Below are 20,467 nucleotides of genomic sequence, written 5' to 3' on the forward strand. Positions count from 1 at the left end.
TTGCTTAGAACTCAGATGTGAAGCATCAATGCTAAATCCCTATTATTTCAAAATTAAACTATGAAATCATCTAACTATACATTAAGAGCACAGAAGTAAAATAAACTATTCTACACATAAATAAAATATATTATGCACGTATTAACATAGTAAATGTAGATCTTGATATATTGTAAAATGAATGAGCAATTCACAAAACAATATGTATAACACAATGCAACTTTTCTTAAATAAAAAAGATGTTATGTTTATATACAAGCTACAGATCAGAAATAAAGTATTAAAGGTTGGTGCAGAGGTGAACATGGGAGAGAATACAGTCGTGGGTTCTTAGTTTCTGTTTCTGGTTAGGCCAGTAAAGCCCCTTACTCATTATACGTTTCTGCTTAGCACTAGAGATAGAAACTAAAAACCATGGCTTCAGGCTGCTAAAAGCCTAAAAAAAACAAGAGAACAACAACAGTGAAAAATAAGGCGAGTTGGACAAGCTTGTTTTACAGTCTGGTCTGGATTTGAATGCTAGTGCCAACACCTGCTCCCAGGCATTCTAATTTTAGTAGTCTATATTACTCATGCTATTAACTGTTCTCAGCTTCAATTTCTACATTTTGTAGTGGTGGACAGTAATACTTTCATTTCATAGGATTGTTGTGAAATAAATGAAATAATATATATAAATGGCTTGGCACAATTCCTGATTCACTATAAAGGTTAATGATGGTAGTTATTTTTGTGGCCCAACCTCACTCTTAAAAATAAATTCTCTGGTATCGCTTTGGATTCAGAAGGACTGAAGGATTTATCCTTACAGAGATTTAGGTTTGTATAACACATACCTTTGGTGATTAGTAACAGAAAAGCCTTAGGGAAAAAAATACGTAATCATAAAAATAATTTCAGATGTATTATTATAAGTATATAACGCACTCTATATGTAATTTAATGTTATAATCTACTATACCCCAGAATATTAAAAATCAGCTTGAAAAAACCTTTTATAAGCCTTTCTCCTGATATGAATAAAATCTATAACTAAGTATACTAAAACGTTTCAGTAGCCAAGAGACTTCTATAACCAATCTTTAGGGAAATACATTTCAGATTATGAAAAGCTGTTCGATGTACATTTCAGGTTGTATTTGCAAGTCACTCTTTCTGAAAACATGCTTATCTTTAAAATTCTAGCTTTCCTTTATCTCACTGCTTGAGCATTCTATTAATGATCTGATTTCCCTTCCTTCCTTCCCTTCCTTCCTTTCTTCCTTCGTTTCTGTTCTTTTCTTTTTTATTATACTTTAAGTTCTGAGATACATGTGCAGAACGTGCAGATTTGTTACATAGGTATACACGTGCCATGGTGGTTTGCTGCACCCATCAACCTCTCATCTACATTAGGTATTTCTCCTAATGCTGTCCCTCCCCTACCTCCCACCCGCCAACAGGCCCCGGTGTGTGATGTTCCCCTCTCTGTGTCCACGTGTTCTCATTGGTCAACTCCCACTTATGGGTGAGAATATGCAGTGTTTGGTTTTCTGTTCCTGTGTTTGTTTGCTGAGAATGATGGTTTTCAGCTTCATCCATGTCCCTGCAAAGGACATGAACTCATCTTTTTTTATGGCTGCAGAAATAACGTCACACATCTACAACCATCTGATCTTTCACAAACCTGACAAAAACAAGCAATGGGGAAAGGATTCCCTATATAATAAATGGTGTTGGGAAAACTGGCTAACCATATGCAGAAAACTGAAACTAGACCCCTTCCTTACCCCTTATACAAAAATTAACTCAAGATGGATTAAAGACTTAAATGTAAGACCTAAAACCATAAAAACCCTAGAAGAAAACCTAGGCAATACCATTCAGGACACAGGCATGGGCAAAGACTTCATGACTAAAACACCAAAAGCAATGGCAACAAAAGCCAAAATTGACAAATGGGATCTAATTAAACTAAAGAGCTTCTGCATAGCCAAAGAAACTATCATCGGAGTGCACAGGCAACCTACAGAATGGGAGAAAAGTTTTGCAATCTATCCATCTGACAAAGGGATAATATCCAGAACCTACAAAGAACTTAAACAAATTTACAAGAGAAAAACAAACAACCCCATCAAAAAGTGGGCAAAGGGTCTGAACAGACACTTCTCAAAAGAAGACATATATGTGGCCAACAAACATATGAAAAAAAGCTAATCATCACTGGTCATTAGAGAAATGCAGATCAAAACCACAATGAGATACCATCTCATGCCAGTCAGAATGGCGATCATTAAAAAGTCAGGAAACAACAGATTCTGTCATTTCTTAATCTTGTGGACTGGAAGCTTAAATTTTTCATCTTTGAAAAGAATCTCCTACTCATTGATTTAGTTTTCATACCAAATCTCAAGTCAATACTTCCATTTATAGGCAGAGTAGTTATCCAATTCAAAAATCTGTTTCAAGTCTTTCTTCCACTAAAGACTTACAATTTGGCTATTTTCCTCTAAATGTTTTCAGTCAAATTATTCTAAAAAAATAGGAATATTTGTAAAGATTAAAGAACAAAACAGGTATAATTTTAGCACATTGAGGGGTAGAAGAGTGTTATTAAATGCCAAGAAACAAACATTAACAGCAAGTTGTTACTTAAGACATTAGTCAATAATATATTTTTAAAAATAAGGCATATGATGTTTTTTATAATCTTATTTAATGCTTAAGCTTCCCTTATACACTAAAATGAAAGTTGAAAAATAAAACTATTTTTAATAAAAAAAGATATAATCCAATTAAAAACCAAAAAATGACAATGATTTTCTGTTAGCCTTCAACACTGCAGGTACATTAGATAGGCCTAAGTAATTTACAGCCACTGACAATTTGATCAACAGTATCAACTCAGTGAAATGTTTGCAGATATTTTGATTTCGTCTAAGCCTTTTGCCATTACTATGTTAACTGAAGTACATATTACCATTACCACTGTCCCTCCCTACTCTCAATGCAAGGTATTTTCTATATACATGCTGGATCTTTCTTACAGTGTTATCTTCAGATCTTAGCATTGTCAGTAATTACACTATACTCTACTAGATATAACACTGAATTTTATTTATAGCAATAACCATGTTTTTGAAGCAGTGAACATTATAAAAAAGATTTAAACAAAGATTGAGAGAAAAATTAGTAATCTAAATTCATAGTAATTTCCTACAAAGAGCTTCTATATCTCTGTATGGTTAGTTTTCAATAAAGTTCTTAAAAAGATGCTTCTAAGATGATTTTGTCAAGACTACAAGATCAATTGAATGAAAATAGTACCATATTTGCAAACAAAATCTGGCCATCCATGGGAACTAAAAGAAGGAAGCCTCGTAACATGACTGTTACCTCCAAGGATCATTTTATGTAAATCCTTCAGTATGTCACCAACTTACCCTAAAAATTATCACAGAACAAACTGAAACAACTTGGATATAGATAAAAGTAGATTATTTTGTTTATTATGGTATTTCAACCGGGAATGGTTAGAGAGGATAAACTGAAAACGTAGTTAGCTAACATTCTAAAGATAGTGGAGACAATCAGATTTTGACACACTGTCTAAAATTAGTATATCAATAATGGTAAAAAAAAAATATTGAAGTCTCATTTTGTTTGGATTTCAATTAGCATACATATATACTAGTGAAATATGTGTGCTTAACTTTCAAACATTAATGTATAGAATTAAGATTATGATTCAATTATGTACTTATTATTTTAAATGCATGCATATAGCTATTTCAAATAGAATAATTTTAGGGTTAAATTCCCAGGTTCTAGGGTTGGAATCTTTAAAAAGTAAATAAACATTTTTCTACTAAAATTTTACGTACTTTACTTCCTCCAACAGTTTTCTAACAGTTCAAGTCAATTTCATACTAGGTGACCATGCATGAATGATATATGGAGTTAGTGGTCACACAAAAGGGAAAACTTGATTGATCATGCATAATTATAATTTATGTAAATTACTAAAATATTTAAATATTTAAAAATATATAATTAGGCCATTAATTGGCACATGCGTTAAAAAAGGAAACCTTATAAAACTTGCTTGTCTTCTGAAAGTGTATTGACAATGTGTAGGAGGGCCATTTTTTTGTTAACAAATTTTTTTTCTGGTTTAAATTCATCAGGAAGTTACAAACTTTCACTACAGTAAAAATGGAAGTAAGTAAATAGTCAATTCAATATTTATGATTAGTCAAGTATTATATAGTTAGTAATTTTAAATAAAATCATTAAAGTTTACAGATAAAGGAAACCACTTACAAGCTGCTCTGATTTTACACTGTATAACTGGATGGTCTTTGCCACATTTTTTGACACAGCTAATGTGAGGTTTGTATCAACAGCAGCAACATTTAGTTCACTGGAGAAAATGAAAACAGTTTTTAAATATTAGCAACATCATTCATCAACAAAGTAAAGAGCAAGATAAAAACTCAAACCCAATAAGCAATGTGGTTATTCTTTTTATAGATTTCACTGCTTCCAAGAACTGGTTGCATTGTTTCATTTTACCCCCTAATTTCAGCACTTGGAAAAAGTACCTGGAGATGGCTTCCTTAATGACCAGTTTCTCATTAACAAAAGCATGTCATATGTGGGTTCAGTCTGTGATTAAAGGAGTAAATTGTGTACAGATTTTTAAAGTAGCACTCTTGCTAATACTGATAAAGTGCAAGCAGAGGCATTGCATATCACAGACATCTGCAAGGAAATGACAGCTCTTGAATGGAAATGATGACCTTAAAGGGACATAGGCTAAAAATATAAATTACACATGATATATAAAGATACTCAGCTTCTGTAGAAATTATGCCAATTCATGCTAGTTTCAATAGAGTAGCTTTTTAAATAATATAAAAGCATAACAGGACTATAATTACAAATTTTTAAAATTCGGATTCTTAAAGTATATTTTTGTCATGCTTCAACTTTAACATTGGATTAATTGGGGTATTTGATCTGACTGCCAAAAAAAAAAAAAAAAGTATTTTACGAAGACCATGGAAAGAACACTAGAAATTAAAAATAATATAGAAACCCATATACAGATGGAAAGCAAGAAAATTATTGTCCCTAAAGTAGTAGAGTAAATCTTACCAGATTCTCTTTTTAAAGAAGTTGAAAGTTTGAAACAATACTAGAGCATACTATGTGTAACAAAAATGCACTTTCATACAGTATTGAGACATAATTTTGTTAATGTTCACTTTTAAATTTTATTAAACACTAGCATAAGCATGATTCTTCCAGTTGTAGATTATATTTGATTATAGCATTGTCAAGTTGCACAGAGGAATGGGAGAGATTCCTCTTTAACATTTACATAAACAGGTCAAAGAGATCAAGTTACTAAGACCTATAGTCAGAAGGAAAGTCAAGGCAATTGTGGAGAGATTTAGGACCAAGATGCTGGGCAATCTAGACAATTTGTAGGTACGTTTGCAGCAAAAGATATGCTTATGTATATTATTATACATGTGGCTTTTTATTTTTATTTTTTGAGACAGGGTTTCGCTCTGTCAGCCAGGCTGGAGTGCAGTGGCGTGATGTCGGCTCACTGCAGCCTTCGCCTCCCGGATTCAAGCGATTCTGATGCCTCAGCCTCCCGAGTAGCTGGGGTTACAAGCGTGCACCACCAGGCCCAGCTAATTTTTGTATTTTTAGTAGAGATGGCGTTTCACCAGGATGGTCTGGAACTCCTGACCTCAGGTGATCCACCCACCTCCGCCTCCCAAAGTGCTGGGATTACAGGCGTGAGCCACCATGCCTGGCCACCTGTGGCTTTTTAGTCTTACTCTTCCACGCCTCAGAATCACCATCTTCAAATCTTTAAAAGAATTTAGACCTCAGTCTCATACTATTTTTTATTCCTTAAAACGTCCATCTCAAATGTACAGATCTACTATTATGACAACTTGTTAGTCATGACAGAAACTGAGATAATTTCAACTGCAAATTGGTCTGGATAACTTTTAAATAAGTGTCTAAAGCCAACAGTATATAATTACATTGTCTGCAGGCATTCAGGTGGCACCTCTGCTAGGATATCTTCCCTTTTTAGTCTTAAAAGCTGTCACATTCACTTAAAAAGCTTAAAATAGCGAACACAAGCTAATCAAAGTTATATTCCTATTTCTGCCATGAAGCACGTTCTGGAGTTTAGGATAAAAAAAAGTTAACCTGTATGTTTTAGTTTCTCAATTTATAAAATCGTTTATTATATTTGATTTCTTGTGTAACGTAAGAAATTTACTATGATACAAAGAGCTAGGTTTACTTTGCATCCTTGGCAAGATATAGAATAATTATAATAGACTGTTTTTAGACTATATTTAAGGTATTTAAATTATTTATTAATTGGAATCTCAAGTACTTACTATGTGTGCACTCATTTACTATAAAATTCTTAATTTAATTGTGGGCCTAATTACTTGAATAATTTGAAAATAAATTAAAAAGGTACTGCTATCATATATCACTAACAAATATGGCAGTCATCTTATGGCAAGCCACTATATAAAAAATACATACCTTGCTATAGTTTTAATAATACCATCAAGTTCATCAGAGGAAGGAGGATTACGACCACCCGGGGGAAAAACCAAGTTGATAGGATCGAAGAGTCGAGATAAGGATTTTGATAGATAAGCAGCCTCATAGGGTTGTAGTGAGTCTTTCAAAGCCTTTTCTGGACTGTGGAAACAAAATTTTTTAAAAACTAACTTAAATTGCACAGAGCTAAATGCTATTGTATCAGGCTGTAAATACCTTTTTAAAAAATGCACCTCCCATAAAAATGTAACTCTATATTAAGAAAAAGAAAATAATTTGTTTCACAACGTACATATTTACCAATATATTTCATAATTAAACATTCAGGACCATAGTAACCTTTTTTTTTTTGAGACGTAGTCTCACTCTGTTGTCCTGGCTGGAGTGCAACGGCGCAATCTTGGCTCACTGCAACCTCTACCTCCTGGGTTCAAGCGATTCTCCTGCCTCAGCCTCCCAAGTAGCTGGGATTACAGCTGCCCGCCACCATGCCCAGCTAATTGTTGTATTTTTAGTAGAGACAGGGTTTTGCCATGTTGGCCAGGATGGTCTCAAACTCCTGACTCCAGTGATCCACCCGCTTCGGCCTCACAAAGTGCTGGGATTACACGTGTGAGCAACCGTGCCCGGCCTATATTAACATTTTAATCTCTACGTAAGTCCCCACTATAAATGCACAATAATATGCACCAATACCTACTGTATTATCTGTTTCCTTAAACTAAAAGAATAACAGTAAAATCCTATTAATGCTAATGGGGGCTATGCCTTTACTTGTAAATCATACCTATAGAGTTATCGAAGCATATGGAAGAAAGACCAGCCTGCAGAGACCTGCTCCATTAGCTTGGCCCTTTCCATCCATAGCTGCCTCCCCAGTAAAGCTCACTGACTGAGAGGGAAGTGTACAGACTTAGGTTTTTACATTTTCCATTTTTGTGTTACTAACAAGAGTGAGACAAAATAAAAAGTATTTATGGAAGTCCTAAAATCACGTAAATACTCCCAAGTGGAGTTCTATGCTACTTTGTTTTATAATATTCTTCACAACATCAAATGTAACCTGAGAAACATTTCTTTCCTGCTTGCACTTCCCATATCTTTAATAATTCATGCTGATTTTCATTTAGCAGTCAAACTATTTGATCTTACATTTTTCTTTCGACAATTACTATCAAATGTCTATAACCATTATTTTCATGTTTCCTTACTCCTATAATTAATTGTCTTCTCACATCATCCCTGTTTACAATCCTTCCACCAGCTTTTGCATTGTCTTTTTTCTTTTATAAACAACAAATTTTCCTTCATCTAAAAAGTTAACCTTTAAAACATCTAACCTGCTCCTTCATGTATATGAAACTTGGCTTTCTCTTTTTCTCACCCTTCTGGTCCACTGATATGACCTAGAGATCAGAATGCTCTTGGCTCCAACATCATAATTCCATAGTTATCTCTTAATGTTTTCTCATTCAGTAAGTATTTCACTCAACACATATTTACTGAGAATACTACGCACCAGGCACTTTGTAAAGTGCTGGGAAGATAGAGATTAAGAGTGCTTTACAGTCTTGTGAAGAAATTGGCAGGTAAAATGCTAATTATAATAATTTCTGTAATAGATGAAGATACCAAGACCATGATGGAAGCATGAAAGAACTTAGTATCTAAATGTGTCTGAAGCAATCCTCTGTTGAAGTCCGAGCCATCTATTTAAATGTCACTATTTTTACTCATGACATCTACTGACCTCAGAAGCCTCTTCCCACTTCTGCAGAAATTTTGGCACTGAATTATAAGAACTAACACTTTCCCGTTCTCCAAATCTACCGTTAAAGATCCTTGGTAACTACAATGTCAAACATCTTTTCTAAAATATGTCCTATATTAAAAGTCTACATTTATAATAACCTTTTTTGGCTTTACTAGGGGGCTTCCAAATTTGAGTCATCACTTTGAACTGCTCCACCTCTAAGATCTTCAAGCTTAAAGGAAACTGTCTACATGCCCCACCTTCTATCTCTACTTTTCCTTCCACAAATATTAAGTCACTACAATATTTGCCAAGTATTTCCTAGGTGCAGAAATATAGTAGAGAACTTGCTTTAAAAAAAAAATTCCCGGCCGGACCTGGTGGCATGGTGGCATGTGCCTGTAATCCCAGCTACTCAGGAGACTGAGAGAGAATTGCTTGAACCCAGGAGGAAAGGGTGCAGTGAGCCAAGATCATGCCACTGCACTCCAGCCTGGGCGACACAGCAAGACTCTGTCAAGAAAAAAAAAAAAAAATTCCCTGTCTTCTTAAAGCTTACACAGTAACAGGAGAGATATACACAAAAATAAAAATTTAAAATAAGTTAAATATGGAATATGATAATGATAAGTGCTAAGAGAAAAATAAAGCAAGGAAGATAGAGAATAATGCTTAAGTCTTTTTTCCTTTTCCATCCGATTTTAGATAGGATGAGGCAAAGGAAGGCTTACTGAGGGGCCCTGAAGGAAAAGAGGGAGCTAATTGTGTAGATTTTCAGGGAAATTGCTTTCCATGAGGAAAGAACAGCAAGTACAAAGGCCCTGAGGAGAGACCATACCTGGCTGTGTTGGCCAGAGGTGCAGATCAAGTAACAGGAGGGTAGTACAAGATAATATCAGAGAAAACAGATGGACGTCATGTTAGGCTTTGCATATCTATAAGGGTGGTATATTTTACTCTAAAGAACTTGTTCTTTGACCTTATTGTAATTTATGCTACATGACCCCTTCTTGCTTCCAGCCTCCATCAGCCCACCATGTCTATAGTCATCCTTTTTCCATAGCCATCATTTCAAGGTGCTCTCATTAGCACCCTGATTTTTCCAATTCACCTTCCTTTCAAAGTTCTAAGAAAATGTTATTGAGATGTTCTCTGTATCTGCTGCTAAGCTGGCCAAGTACTTCAGAGAAAAAATGATTTCTACTGGACATTTATACAAACTTCTTTAAAATCAAGAGACCTGAAGGTCAAAGTAATAACCTAAAATTCTACTTGTGCAACTCTTCAATCTTTATAGATGACTTTTGTCTTGGTTTTACCCTAAGAGAAAACCACTGGCCGTGACCTTTCTCAACGTGGCACTTCTCTTGTTTTTTTCCCTCTTACAACTTCATCTATTCTCTGTGACTTTCTTATTATTTCAATGAAAGAGGTAACCTCACTCCTTTTTTTAAAATAAAAAATTCCCAGAATAATTTAATCTATCTCTTCTTATCCCATTCTCTTCTTACACAGATCTGATCGCTATACATGTATCACAGCATCACTCTATATATGTATAAATATTATGTGTCAGTTAAAAAAATAAAGGAAAAAGATATGTCAGCATAAAAAATATAAAGACATATCTCTAAGTAAAAAGGTTTTATTGGGGAATAACATACGAGAAGCAGGATTGCTATCTTGGACCTACAGACAGAACAGGGTGGCCTCTGGTATGTTTGGAAAACAAAAGAAAGGCTGGAGTTTATTGGGGGAAGAGGAGGTTATGCAAGTTGTTTTCAAAGACAGTTTACTGGCACTGGCAGCATCTTATATAAGAGCTGGTGAGTTCTGATTGGTGAGTGTCAGTAAATTGCAAAGTAGGACTTGCAATTTTAGTGTTATGGTTAGGCCCTTGCAGTTTGGATTGGGCTTGTGAGATAGTGTGTCAGGCAAATGTTCTTGTTTAAGTGGCTAGCTGTCCCTGTGTGACTTGTGTAGTAAGCTGCAGTTGAGAAAAATTTCTTGTGATAGTTCTTGTTATCAGGCAAATCATGTGTGACAGCTCTCCCTTCATAACCGTCCCCCAGCTCTATTTTGCCAGGCTTTGACACAAGTGACTCCATGTCGAATCTGACAACTTTCATATATATAATTTACATAGCATACCACCACTTGAATTCAATCACTGAAAGTATACAATTTGATGAATTTTGTATATTCAGAGATCTGTGCTATCATCACCACAGTCAATTTTAGAACATTTTATCACCTCAAAAAGAAATCTTGTATCTTTAACTACAACACTCCACCTTCCTCACTCCATCCCCAGGCCCAATCGATCACTAATCTACTTTGTGTTTCTATAGATTTTGCTATTCTGGATTTGCATATGAATGGGATAATATACTGTGTGTATCTGTGTATGTGTGTGTTTTACTGTCTTCTTTCACTTAGTATAATGTTTTCAAGGTTCATCCATGTTGCAGCATGTACAGTACTTCATTTCTTTTTATGGCTAATATTGTATATATTTTAATTGTAATATTTCATTGTATGAATATAGCACATTTTGTTTACCCATTTGTCTGTTGACAGACATTTGGTTGTTTCCATCTTTTGGCTATCAGGAATAATGCTGCTACAAACATTTGCATACAAATGTCTACGTGAACATATGTTTTTATTTCCCTTGGGTATACATCTGGAGCGAAACTGCTGGGTCATATGGTAACTATGTTTAATAGTTTGAAGAGGCCGCACATAGTGGCTCATGCCTGTAATCCCAACACTTTGGGAGGCTGAGGCAGGAGGATCCCTTGAGCCCAGAAGTTCAAGACCAGCCTGTGCAACAAAGTTAAACCTCGCCGCTACAAAAAATAAAATAATTAGTCAGGCATGGGAGTGCACGCCTGTAATCCCAGCTACTCAAAGGCTGAGGTGGAGGACTGCTTGAGCCGGAGAGTTAGAGGATGCAGTGAGCTGTGATTGCACCACTGCACTCTAGCCTGGGCTACAGAACGAGACCCAGTTTCAAGAAAAAAAGTTTGAAGAACTGCCAAACCCTTTTCCAAGGCCCTGTACCAGTTTAGATTTCCACCAGCAACATATGAGGATAGTAATTTCTCAACATCCTTGACAACACTTGCTACTATTTGTCTTTTTGTTTATAGACATCCTAGGGGGCGTGACATAGTGGTTCTGATTTGTATTGTGGTTCTGATTTGTATTTTCCTGATCATCTTTTTCATGTGCTTATTGGTCATCTATGTTTTCTGGAGATGTCTGCTCAGATCCCTTGTCCACTTTTTAGTTGGGTAATTTGTCTTTTTATTGTTGAATTGAAAAGAGTTCTTTATATATTCTGAAACAAGTCAATTGCCAGATCTATGAGTCAGAAATATTTTCACCCATTCCTAATGGTAATCCTTTGAAGCAGCAAAGTTTCTAATTTTCAGAAAGTCCAAAATATCATTTAAATATAATTTTGTCTTTTGTTGATTGTGATTTTGCTGTCATGTCTAAGAATTATTTACCAAATCCTAATGCATGAAGATTTGCCCCTATGTTTTCTAACAGAGATATATATATATATATATATATATATATATATATATATATATATATATATATATATTTAAAAATTTATCTATATTTTTAATTTTTACATTGATTGATTGATTGAGATGGGGTTTCCCTATCTTGTCCAGGCTGGACTCAAACTCCTGGACTCAAGTGATTTTCTCACCTCAGCTTCCCAAAGTGCTGGGAATTACAGGCATGAGACATGAGACACTGTGCCCAGCCTTGTTTTATATTTTTAATCTAATATTTAAATCTTTGATCCATTTTGAGTTAATTTTTGTATATGATGTGAAGGGCACCACTTCATTATTTTGCATGTCACTATCAGCTGTCCCAGCACCATTTGTCTAAAAGATAATTCTTTCTCGATTGAAAGAATGGTCTTTACACTTTTTGAAGACAACTCACCATAGATTTACAGGTTTCCTTCTATACTCTCAGTTTTATGTCTATCCTTGTGCCAGGCAGTACTATACCATAGGGATTAAAATTGCTTTGTAGTGACTTGTGAGCCCTCCTACACTCTTTTTCTTCTTCTTCTTCTTCAATATTGTTTTAACTATTCTGGGTCCCTTGAAATTCCTTATGAATTTTAGAAGCACTTGTTACTTTTTACAAAGAACTCAGCTGAGATTCTGATAGTGATAGTTACTGTACTGAATCGATATATATCAATTTGGGGGGCATTACCATCTTAACAAGGTCAAGTCTTGCAATTCATGAAGATGAGATGCTTTTCTACTTATTTAGATATTTCTTTGAACAATATTTTACAGTTTTATGAGTATAAATTTGCACTCCTTTTGTTAAAGTTATTCCTAAATATTTTATCTTTGTGGTGTTGTTATACATATTACATCTGTTAATGTTAATAAACCCAACAATGAATTGTTATAATTACTATTTTACTATCTGTCATCATTTCCTAGAAAATTTCAGCTTTGTTCCTACCTACCTCCTGTGCCAAACTTGCTATGCCAAAGATAAAAGTTAAGCTTGGAAATTGAGTTATGCAAAAAAACTGCCTTTCCTTTGTTCCCAAACAGCTGCAAGATGGAAGGCCACATCTCTCTCCAGGTGGCCTCCCTCACCCTGATCCTGTAAATTAACAGCTTATCTTCACATATAGGTACAATGACAATATTAGAAATAATTCTACTGCCCACTATGAGACAAATGCAGATTTGATGAACATGAAACAAATGCATAACTGACTGTTCCTGTACCCTCTTCTTTCACATGTAACATGTGGATTCAGTGAGTGCTAATCAAAGCCTCACAAGAATGTGACCACTTATCTCACTACCTACCCTCCCCACTTTTTTTCTTTTCCCCTTCCCTTCCTGCCCACTCTTTCCCCTTTAAATCTTGAAGTCCTCAAAACCCTCTTTGGAAAAAATCCAGGTCTCAGATCCTTCAGTGACTAGAGTCTCTTCTTCCCAGGCACATCCTTAACCTGTGCAAAATAAACCTCTAAATTAATAGAGACCTGTCTCAGACACTTTTTGTTTTATACAGTCGATACATATTATTTTATATAATTGCTTTTTAGGTCAGTTAAGAGAAGAAGAAAATGTGTGTTTATATTGTCTTTTATAATTTCATAATTACCTTTACTTTGTGGGGATTCGAATTATCTGGGGTCACTCGCTTTCAGCCTGTAGAACTTTCTTTAGTATTTCTTGTAAGCTGGAATGCTAGCAACAAATTCTCTTTTTTAAATCAAGGAAAGTATTTTGCCTTCATTTTTGAAAGGACAGCTTTACTGGACATGGGATTCTTGGCTCATTTTTTTTCCTTTGAGCAATCTGAGCCCACTACCTTTTGGCATCCTTTGTTTCTGCTGAGAAGTCAGCTGTTAATGTTATTGGGACTCCCTTGTAAGTGAAGTATAGTTGTATTTGGGAAGGGGGCGTGGGGAGTGGGTAAAGACAGGGTCTCACTATGTTGCCCAGGCTAGTCTTGAACTCCTGGCCTCAAGCGATCCTCCTGCCTTGGCCTCCTAAAGTGCTATGATTACAGGCGTCAGCCACCGCACCCAGCCGATTGTATAGTTTTTCCCTTGCTGTTTTCAGGGTTTTGTCCCTGACTTTTGACATTTTTACCACGATGTATCTGTTTGTGGGTCTTTTTGCATTAATCTTACTTGGAGTTTGTTGAGCTTCCTGGATGGATAGGCTATTGTATTTCAAAAAACTGGGAAGGTTTCATTCACTATTTCTTCAAGTTTTTTTCTCCATTACATCTCTCCTCTCCTTGTGGTATTCCTATAACATAGATGTTGGTATTCTTAATGGTATCCCACATTTATTTGAGGCTCTGTTTATTTTCTTCATTCTTTTCTTTCTGTTTTTTTGACTTGTGTAATCTCTATCACCCTAGCTTCAAGTTGGTGAATTCTTTTCTCTGCCAGGTCAAAGCTATTCACAGAACTAAAGGAAGGCATGAGCCACCACAACCAGCCAAAACTGGGCATTTTAGATACATTGTTGCAACTCTGGGTACTGGTCCCCGCAGCTCTAAGGCTTGTTATTGTTGTTTGCTTTTTATCTGTTTAGTGATTGGCTGGATTATTTTAATGAAGTCTATCTCTCTCCCACAGTCTTAAATCTCTGATGTTCCTCAGCTAGACACAGCTTTGGGTATGCTAATAGTCACCTTGAGATGGCAGTGCTAATGGCAGGATTATCTTCCTCATTTTTTTTCTGACCACACCCAGATACTAAACTCCATTAACTGACTGCTCTACATTTTCAACAATGCCTTGAGGCAAAAACTCCTCTACAAAGGAATCTACAAAGGAGCTAATTGTAGCTCCTTTGATAGAACCTTTCTGAGGTCATGTTTGATATCTGCTCTGATTCCAGGAGGGGCTCCTCCCAGCTGTCTTATTCTCCGGATCTCTCCTTGGAGCTAGCTTACCTTCAGCTATCTTCACTAGAACTACAAGTCTCCTCCCATTGCCTTTCACCACACTGCCAGGGTTTTTTTGAGAATACCCTTAGGTTTAAACTTCTCCAGGTTCAGTTGCAAATGAAGTCACTTACTTGGGGAAGAGAATAGAGGCTGTTTTTCTCTTTTTTCCTTTTCCTTTCCCCTTCCTCCTCTCCTTTCTTTGCCTTTCTTTTTCTATTTCCTTCTTTTAGAAAGGGTGTTGCTCTGTCACCTAAGCTGGAGTATAGTGGTGTGATCCCCATTCACTGCTGCCTTGACTTCCCAGGCCCAAGTGATCCTCCCACCTCAGCCTCCCAAGTAGCTGGGACTACAGGTGTGGACTACCAAGCCCAGTTAACTTTTTTATTTTTTGTAGAGACGGGGTCTGTTTTGCTCAGGCTGGTCTCAAACTCCTGGGCTCAAGCCATCTGCCTGCCTTGGTCTCCCAAACTGCTGACCGACTGCCATGTCTGACCCAGGACCTGTTTTATTGCCTGCCTCTACCCAAGTAAAAATCTTTATGCCAGGGCTCTGGACCTGAGGGTGGAGAAAATGGCAAGCTTCTTTCTGACTGACACCTTGTAGAAGACCAGGTCTCACTAATGTAGGCCTCCATAACAACTTTTAGAACTGACTGAGTGGTTAAGCTAAATATTAAAAGCTGAAAGAGCCCATGTCCTTATACAAAGGTTGAGATATAACAAAAGCCTACCAAGAGTTTTCCTTAGGCCTTTCCTGGGCCTTAAAGCATGACAAGATAACGAAGGAATTCTTAACAGGACCCGTTTAGGATTTAAAAAGTTTTACTCAGGATCTGAAGAAACTCTCCAGGCCTCCACAAACAAGTTTATAGGTAGTCTAAAGAACTCCCCAAACCTCCATGATTTAGTAGGAGAGAAGATAAGAGTAATCACCCCAGCACCTGGGGCCCATTTAGATGAAGTAATTTACTGAGGCTCCAGAGGAAGGTCTTCAAGACTCAGAACTTATAGATTAAAATAAGCTAATCACTTATGTCTTTAGATAAATGCACACTTACATGTAGACATACAGCTTAGAAGGTATATGAGCTCTGGAAAACTTTGTAATTTTGAGTTGGTGTGGCAATATTTTCTGGGCCTTATCCCTGCAACTGGTTACAGAAATAAAAAACTCTCCTCCTCTCCAGTTCTGCATCTTGTTATTGGGCAGCAAGAAATAGCAGCCCAACCCTCAGTTTGGTCTGGGAACAACCTCATTCTAGGAAGTGAGCACTTGGTGGAAGGCAATTGCATGAGGTCCTTTCAGTTTATATTTCCCAGCAAAGAATCACTATTTCAAAAGCCCAGGCAAAGGTAATTAGGGCCCCAGTACTTTGAGCCTGCCATACTCAAGGACCCATTCATTGCGTGGGAATTGGGCACAATATGGGAGCTCCCTACTCCTGACCTCGCTTACCTGAAAGTTAGCCTCAGCAGCTTTCTGCTGAGGTCATTATTAGAAATGTTGAGGCCCTGCTCTTCCCAGGAAGAGAGCCTTCCAGCTGAGAGCTAGGAGGGAGCCCTGTGTTCTTGGCTACTGCAGTCTAGAGAACGATCTCCACTTCACTAAGCTAAGGCGGGTAAGACGGGAACAATCTTGACTCAAATACCACAGGCTCCAGTTTTTCTGACCACATTTTCCTAGACTTTCTTGAATAGATGTTTCTTCATTTTGCTGTTTGCTCTTAGGACCATTTCTGGACTCCAACTTAAATGAACTCATTCTTTGGGGCTCCACACTGCTTTTAGTTGTCCTCCTATCTCACCACTTTTTCTGTCTTTGTCTCCTTTGTAGGCTGCCATTCCACTGTCTAATCTATAAATGCTGGTACCTTTCTTGGGCCAAGGCTCTCTTTTCTCTCCATATATAACTTCCCTATGTAATCTCTTCCAATTCCACGATTTAAAAAAATGTACATGATGATGGCAGGGTGCGGTGACTCAGGCCTGTAATCCCACACTTTGGGAGGCTGAGGTGGATGGATCACCTGAGGTCAGGAGTTCGAGACTAGCCTGGCCAAAATGGCGAAACTCTGTCTCTACTAAAAATACAAAAATTATCTGGGCATGGTGGTGTGTGCCCATAATCCCAGCTGCTCGGGAGGCTGAGGTGGGAGAATCGCTTGAACCCAGGAGACAAAAGTTGCTGTGAGCAGATATCACACCACTGCACTCCAGCCTGGGTGACAGAGCAAAGACTCCATCTAAAAAAATAAAAATAAAAATAAGTGCATGATTACTTCCAAATACATATTTCCAGCCCTGACTCATATTTAATTACCTTTTCAACAACTCTATTTGCATTTTCAATTCACCAGTTTCAAAAGAAAAATATTAATTAAATACAATGCTTTGAAAAAATTTTTCCTATCTTAACCAGTCAGTCTTCCATTAACTAGTCGTATCCTTGATTCCCCTGTCCTCTCAAATCCATGGCTTGCCCTCTACATATCCTGTTTCAAAAATACATCTTGAATCAATCTAACCAAATTACCACCTCATCTGCTCATCCTAGTTCAAGTCATTATCATCTCTTATCTGGATAAACAAAATAGCTTCCATCTTCCACTTCTCCAACTCTGTGCTGGCCCCCCCTAAGTTGTCTACATAGCAGTCAGAGTGCTAATTTTAAAATGTTTATCAGTTCACATCATTCCTCTAAATCAATGGTTTCTCACTTTATTAAGATAAACTCCAAGCCCTTTACCATTGCCTGTAAAGCTCTACCTGATCTCACATTTCCTTTCCTCTCTGATCCAATCTTAAACACTTCCCTTCTTCATTCACTATGTTCCAGCTGCACTGGCTTCTTTCTGTTCTTCAAACCTCCTCATCTTAATTTTCTTTCTTTTTTTTTTTTTTTTTTTTGAGACAGAATCTTGCTCTGTTGCCTGGGCTGGAGTGCAGTGGCGCGATCTCAGCTCACTGCAATCTCCACCTCCTGGGTTCATGCAGTTTTCCTGCCTCAGCCTTCTGAGTAGCTGGGATTATAGGCATGTGCCACCATGCCTGGATTTGTGTGTGTGTGTGTGTGTGTGTGTGTGTGTGTGTGTGTGTGTATATATACACACACACACACACACACATATATATATACACACATATATATATACACATATATACACACATATACACATCTATATATACACACATATATATATACACACACATATACACACACACACACACACACACACACACATATATATATATATATATATATATATATATATATATTTTTTTTTTTTTTTTGTAGAGTCAGGATTTCACCATGTTGGCCAGGCTAGTCTCGAACTCCTGACCTCAAGTGATCCACCCTCCTCAGCCTCCCAAAGTGCTTGGATTATAGGCGTGAGCCACCACACCGTACCCAGTCTTAATTTTCCTAAGGTCTCTAAATTTGTTCTTCTGCCTGCAAAAACCTTACTCTAAATTTCTCATGGTTGATTCTTCCACACTATTTAGATCTCAGGTCAAATGTTACCTCCTCATAGAAGCTTTCTCTGACATCCTATATAGTAAGCAACTCTACAGCATTGTTTTATTTGCTTCATAGCAATTATCAATACTGAAAATTTGACACAAGTAATGAATCATGAAAAATGATATCCTGGCTATTCATGTTTTGATTCTGTTCTGATTCCTCTAGGGCCTGATTCCATTCATTTTCTCTTTTCTTTCTTACATCTCCCATCTCTTTTTCTCTCCACTGGCTACTTCCATCTATGAAAACTCAACTCTTCCTTGTTTGTGTCCTTGAACCCTCAAGATTTTTTGACATCTTCGAATATGGCCTCCTATATCTCGTTTTCCTCACCAACCACATTACTGAATTCATCTCCAAAAAGTGACAATAATATCCTATTAGTGAAAACACAGTAGCTTTTTTTACTCTAATTTGTTTTGCCTCCATTGAATTTACTGTTTTATTTTATTTATTTTTTGAGACTGAGTCTTGCTTTGTCACCCAGACTGGAGTGCAGTGGCACGATCTCGGCTCATTGCAACATCCGCCTCCCAGGTTCAAGCCATTCTCTTGCTCAGCCTCCCAAGTAGCTGGGATTACAGGCATGCACCACCACGCCTACATAATTTTTTGTTTTTTTCAGTAGAGATGGTGTTTCACTGTTTTGGCCAGACTGGTCTCGAACTCCTGACCTCAGGTGATCTGCCCACGTTGGCCTTCCAAAGTTCACGGTCTTTCTTCTTTCTTTTCCTTCCCTTCCCTTCCCCTTCCTTCCTCACACAGTGACCTACCTTCCTTCCTTCCTTCCTTCTTTCCCTCCCTCCCTCCCCTCTCTCTCCCTCTCTTTTCTTTTCTTTCTCTTTCTTTCTTTTTCTTTCTTTCACACAAGGAACATATATTCATTTTACATAAAAGCAGAAAATACAAAATTAGGATTCCACCTCCTGGAAATAACTGTTACTGTTTGCTTTGTATATTTCTAGACCTTTTTTAGTACATGCACATAGATTTAAAAATAAAACTAAGGCAGAAATAGAATACTATATTTGCTATTTTATATATACTTTTAAAAAATATGATATATCATTAAATCTTTGCAGATCAACAGACATAGGTTCTGTTCTCTTTTGCCCTCTCTATTAGGACTTACTGAATCTGCCTATTATAAAAGAGTTATTGAGAAGATAATCTGGTCTCATTCTATGATTCTAACCTATCATGGCCATTTATTTTGCCAGTCAAAACTACTCTTTTTTTTTTTTTTTTTTTTTAAAGAGAGACAGGGTCTCACTATGCTGCCCAGGCTGGCCTCTAACTCCTAGGCTCAAGAGACCTTCCCCAGTAGCTGGGATTACAAGCATGTGTCACACTGCCCAGCACGAGTCAGAACTTCCATATACTGTATTCTGCCAGTCAGAGCTTCTAACTATACTGGACACAAATTCAACTATATGTATTTAGGAATAAAATTAAAAGAGAAACAAACAACTGTTTAAACAGCACCCATGAGTCTATCCAACATTTTTCTTACAAGATAGGTGATAAGAAACTGCTACTGCTTTAGCCAGCCTTGACACAATAAATATGATTCTAGTGTTTAAAGAAAGGTGTGAAAGCCAATCACTTGATCTGATGCTCAAATTGAAAGTTTAAAATACTCTTTCAATTTTGGAGGAAAAGCTGGGCGGGCTAAACTTGCTGAGATGGTATACTGGTTTCCAATATGGCTCCTAAATATGGCTATACTACTATACTTCATGGGTGACCTAAGAGATTTTCAGGGGTAATTTTAACTATACAGTTGGACCTCCATTTCTGCAAATTCTACATCCAAGGATTAAACCAACCATGGATTGAAAACCTATTTAGGCCTACAATGGTCGTGGCTGTAATGAAACATTTATTCACATTTTTTCTTATCATTCTCTAAGCAATATAGTATAATAACTCTATGCATAGCATTTACATTGTATTAGGTATTATAGGTAACCTAGAGATGATGTGCATAGGTTATATGCAAATATTATGTCATTTTACCTAAAAAACTTGAGCTTCCCAATGGGTCCTGGAACCAATCCCCTACAAATACCCAAGGGATGAGTACATTCTGCCTTTTTTTTTTTTTTTTTTTTT

General features: G+C 36.7%; 1 protein-coding gene across 10 annotated transcripts in view; it reads right to left on the reverse strand.

Annotated features, from left to right (window-relative positions):
* COG5 (component of oligomeric golgi complex 5) overlaps window positions 1-20,467 on the reverse strand; it is a 362,549-nt gene that overhangs the window by 75,626 nt on the left and 266,456 nt on the right. For 9 of the 10 annotated variants that reach the window (NM_001379516.1, NM_001379515.1, NM_001379512.1 and 6 more), the window contains 2 exons: window positions 6,574-6,735; window positions 4,303-4,402 (listed from right to left, as the gene is read on the reverse strand). In NM_001379516.1, coding sequence (NP_001366445.1) covers window positions 4,303-4,402; window positions 6,574-6,735 — 262 coding nt within the window. The remainder of the gene's footprint in view (window positions 1-4,302; window positions 4,403-6,573; window positions 6,736-20,467) is intronic. The other variant, NM_001379511.1, reaches the window with a different exon arrangement.

The sequence above is a fragment of the Homo sapiens genome, chromosome 7, assembly GCF_000001405.40.
Source record: "Homo sapiens chromosome 7, GRCh38.p14 Primary Assembly".
In the NCBI taxonomy this organism is placed as follows: domain Eukaryota; kingdom Metazoa; phylum Chordata; class Mammalia; order Primates; family Hominidae; genus Homo; species Homo sapiens.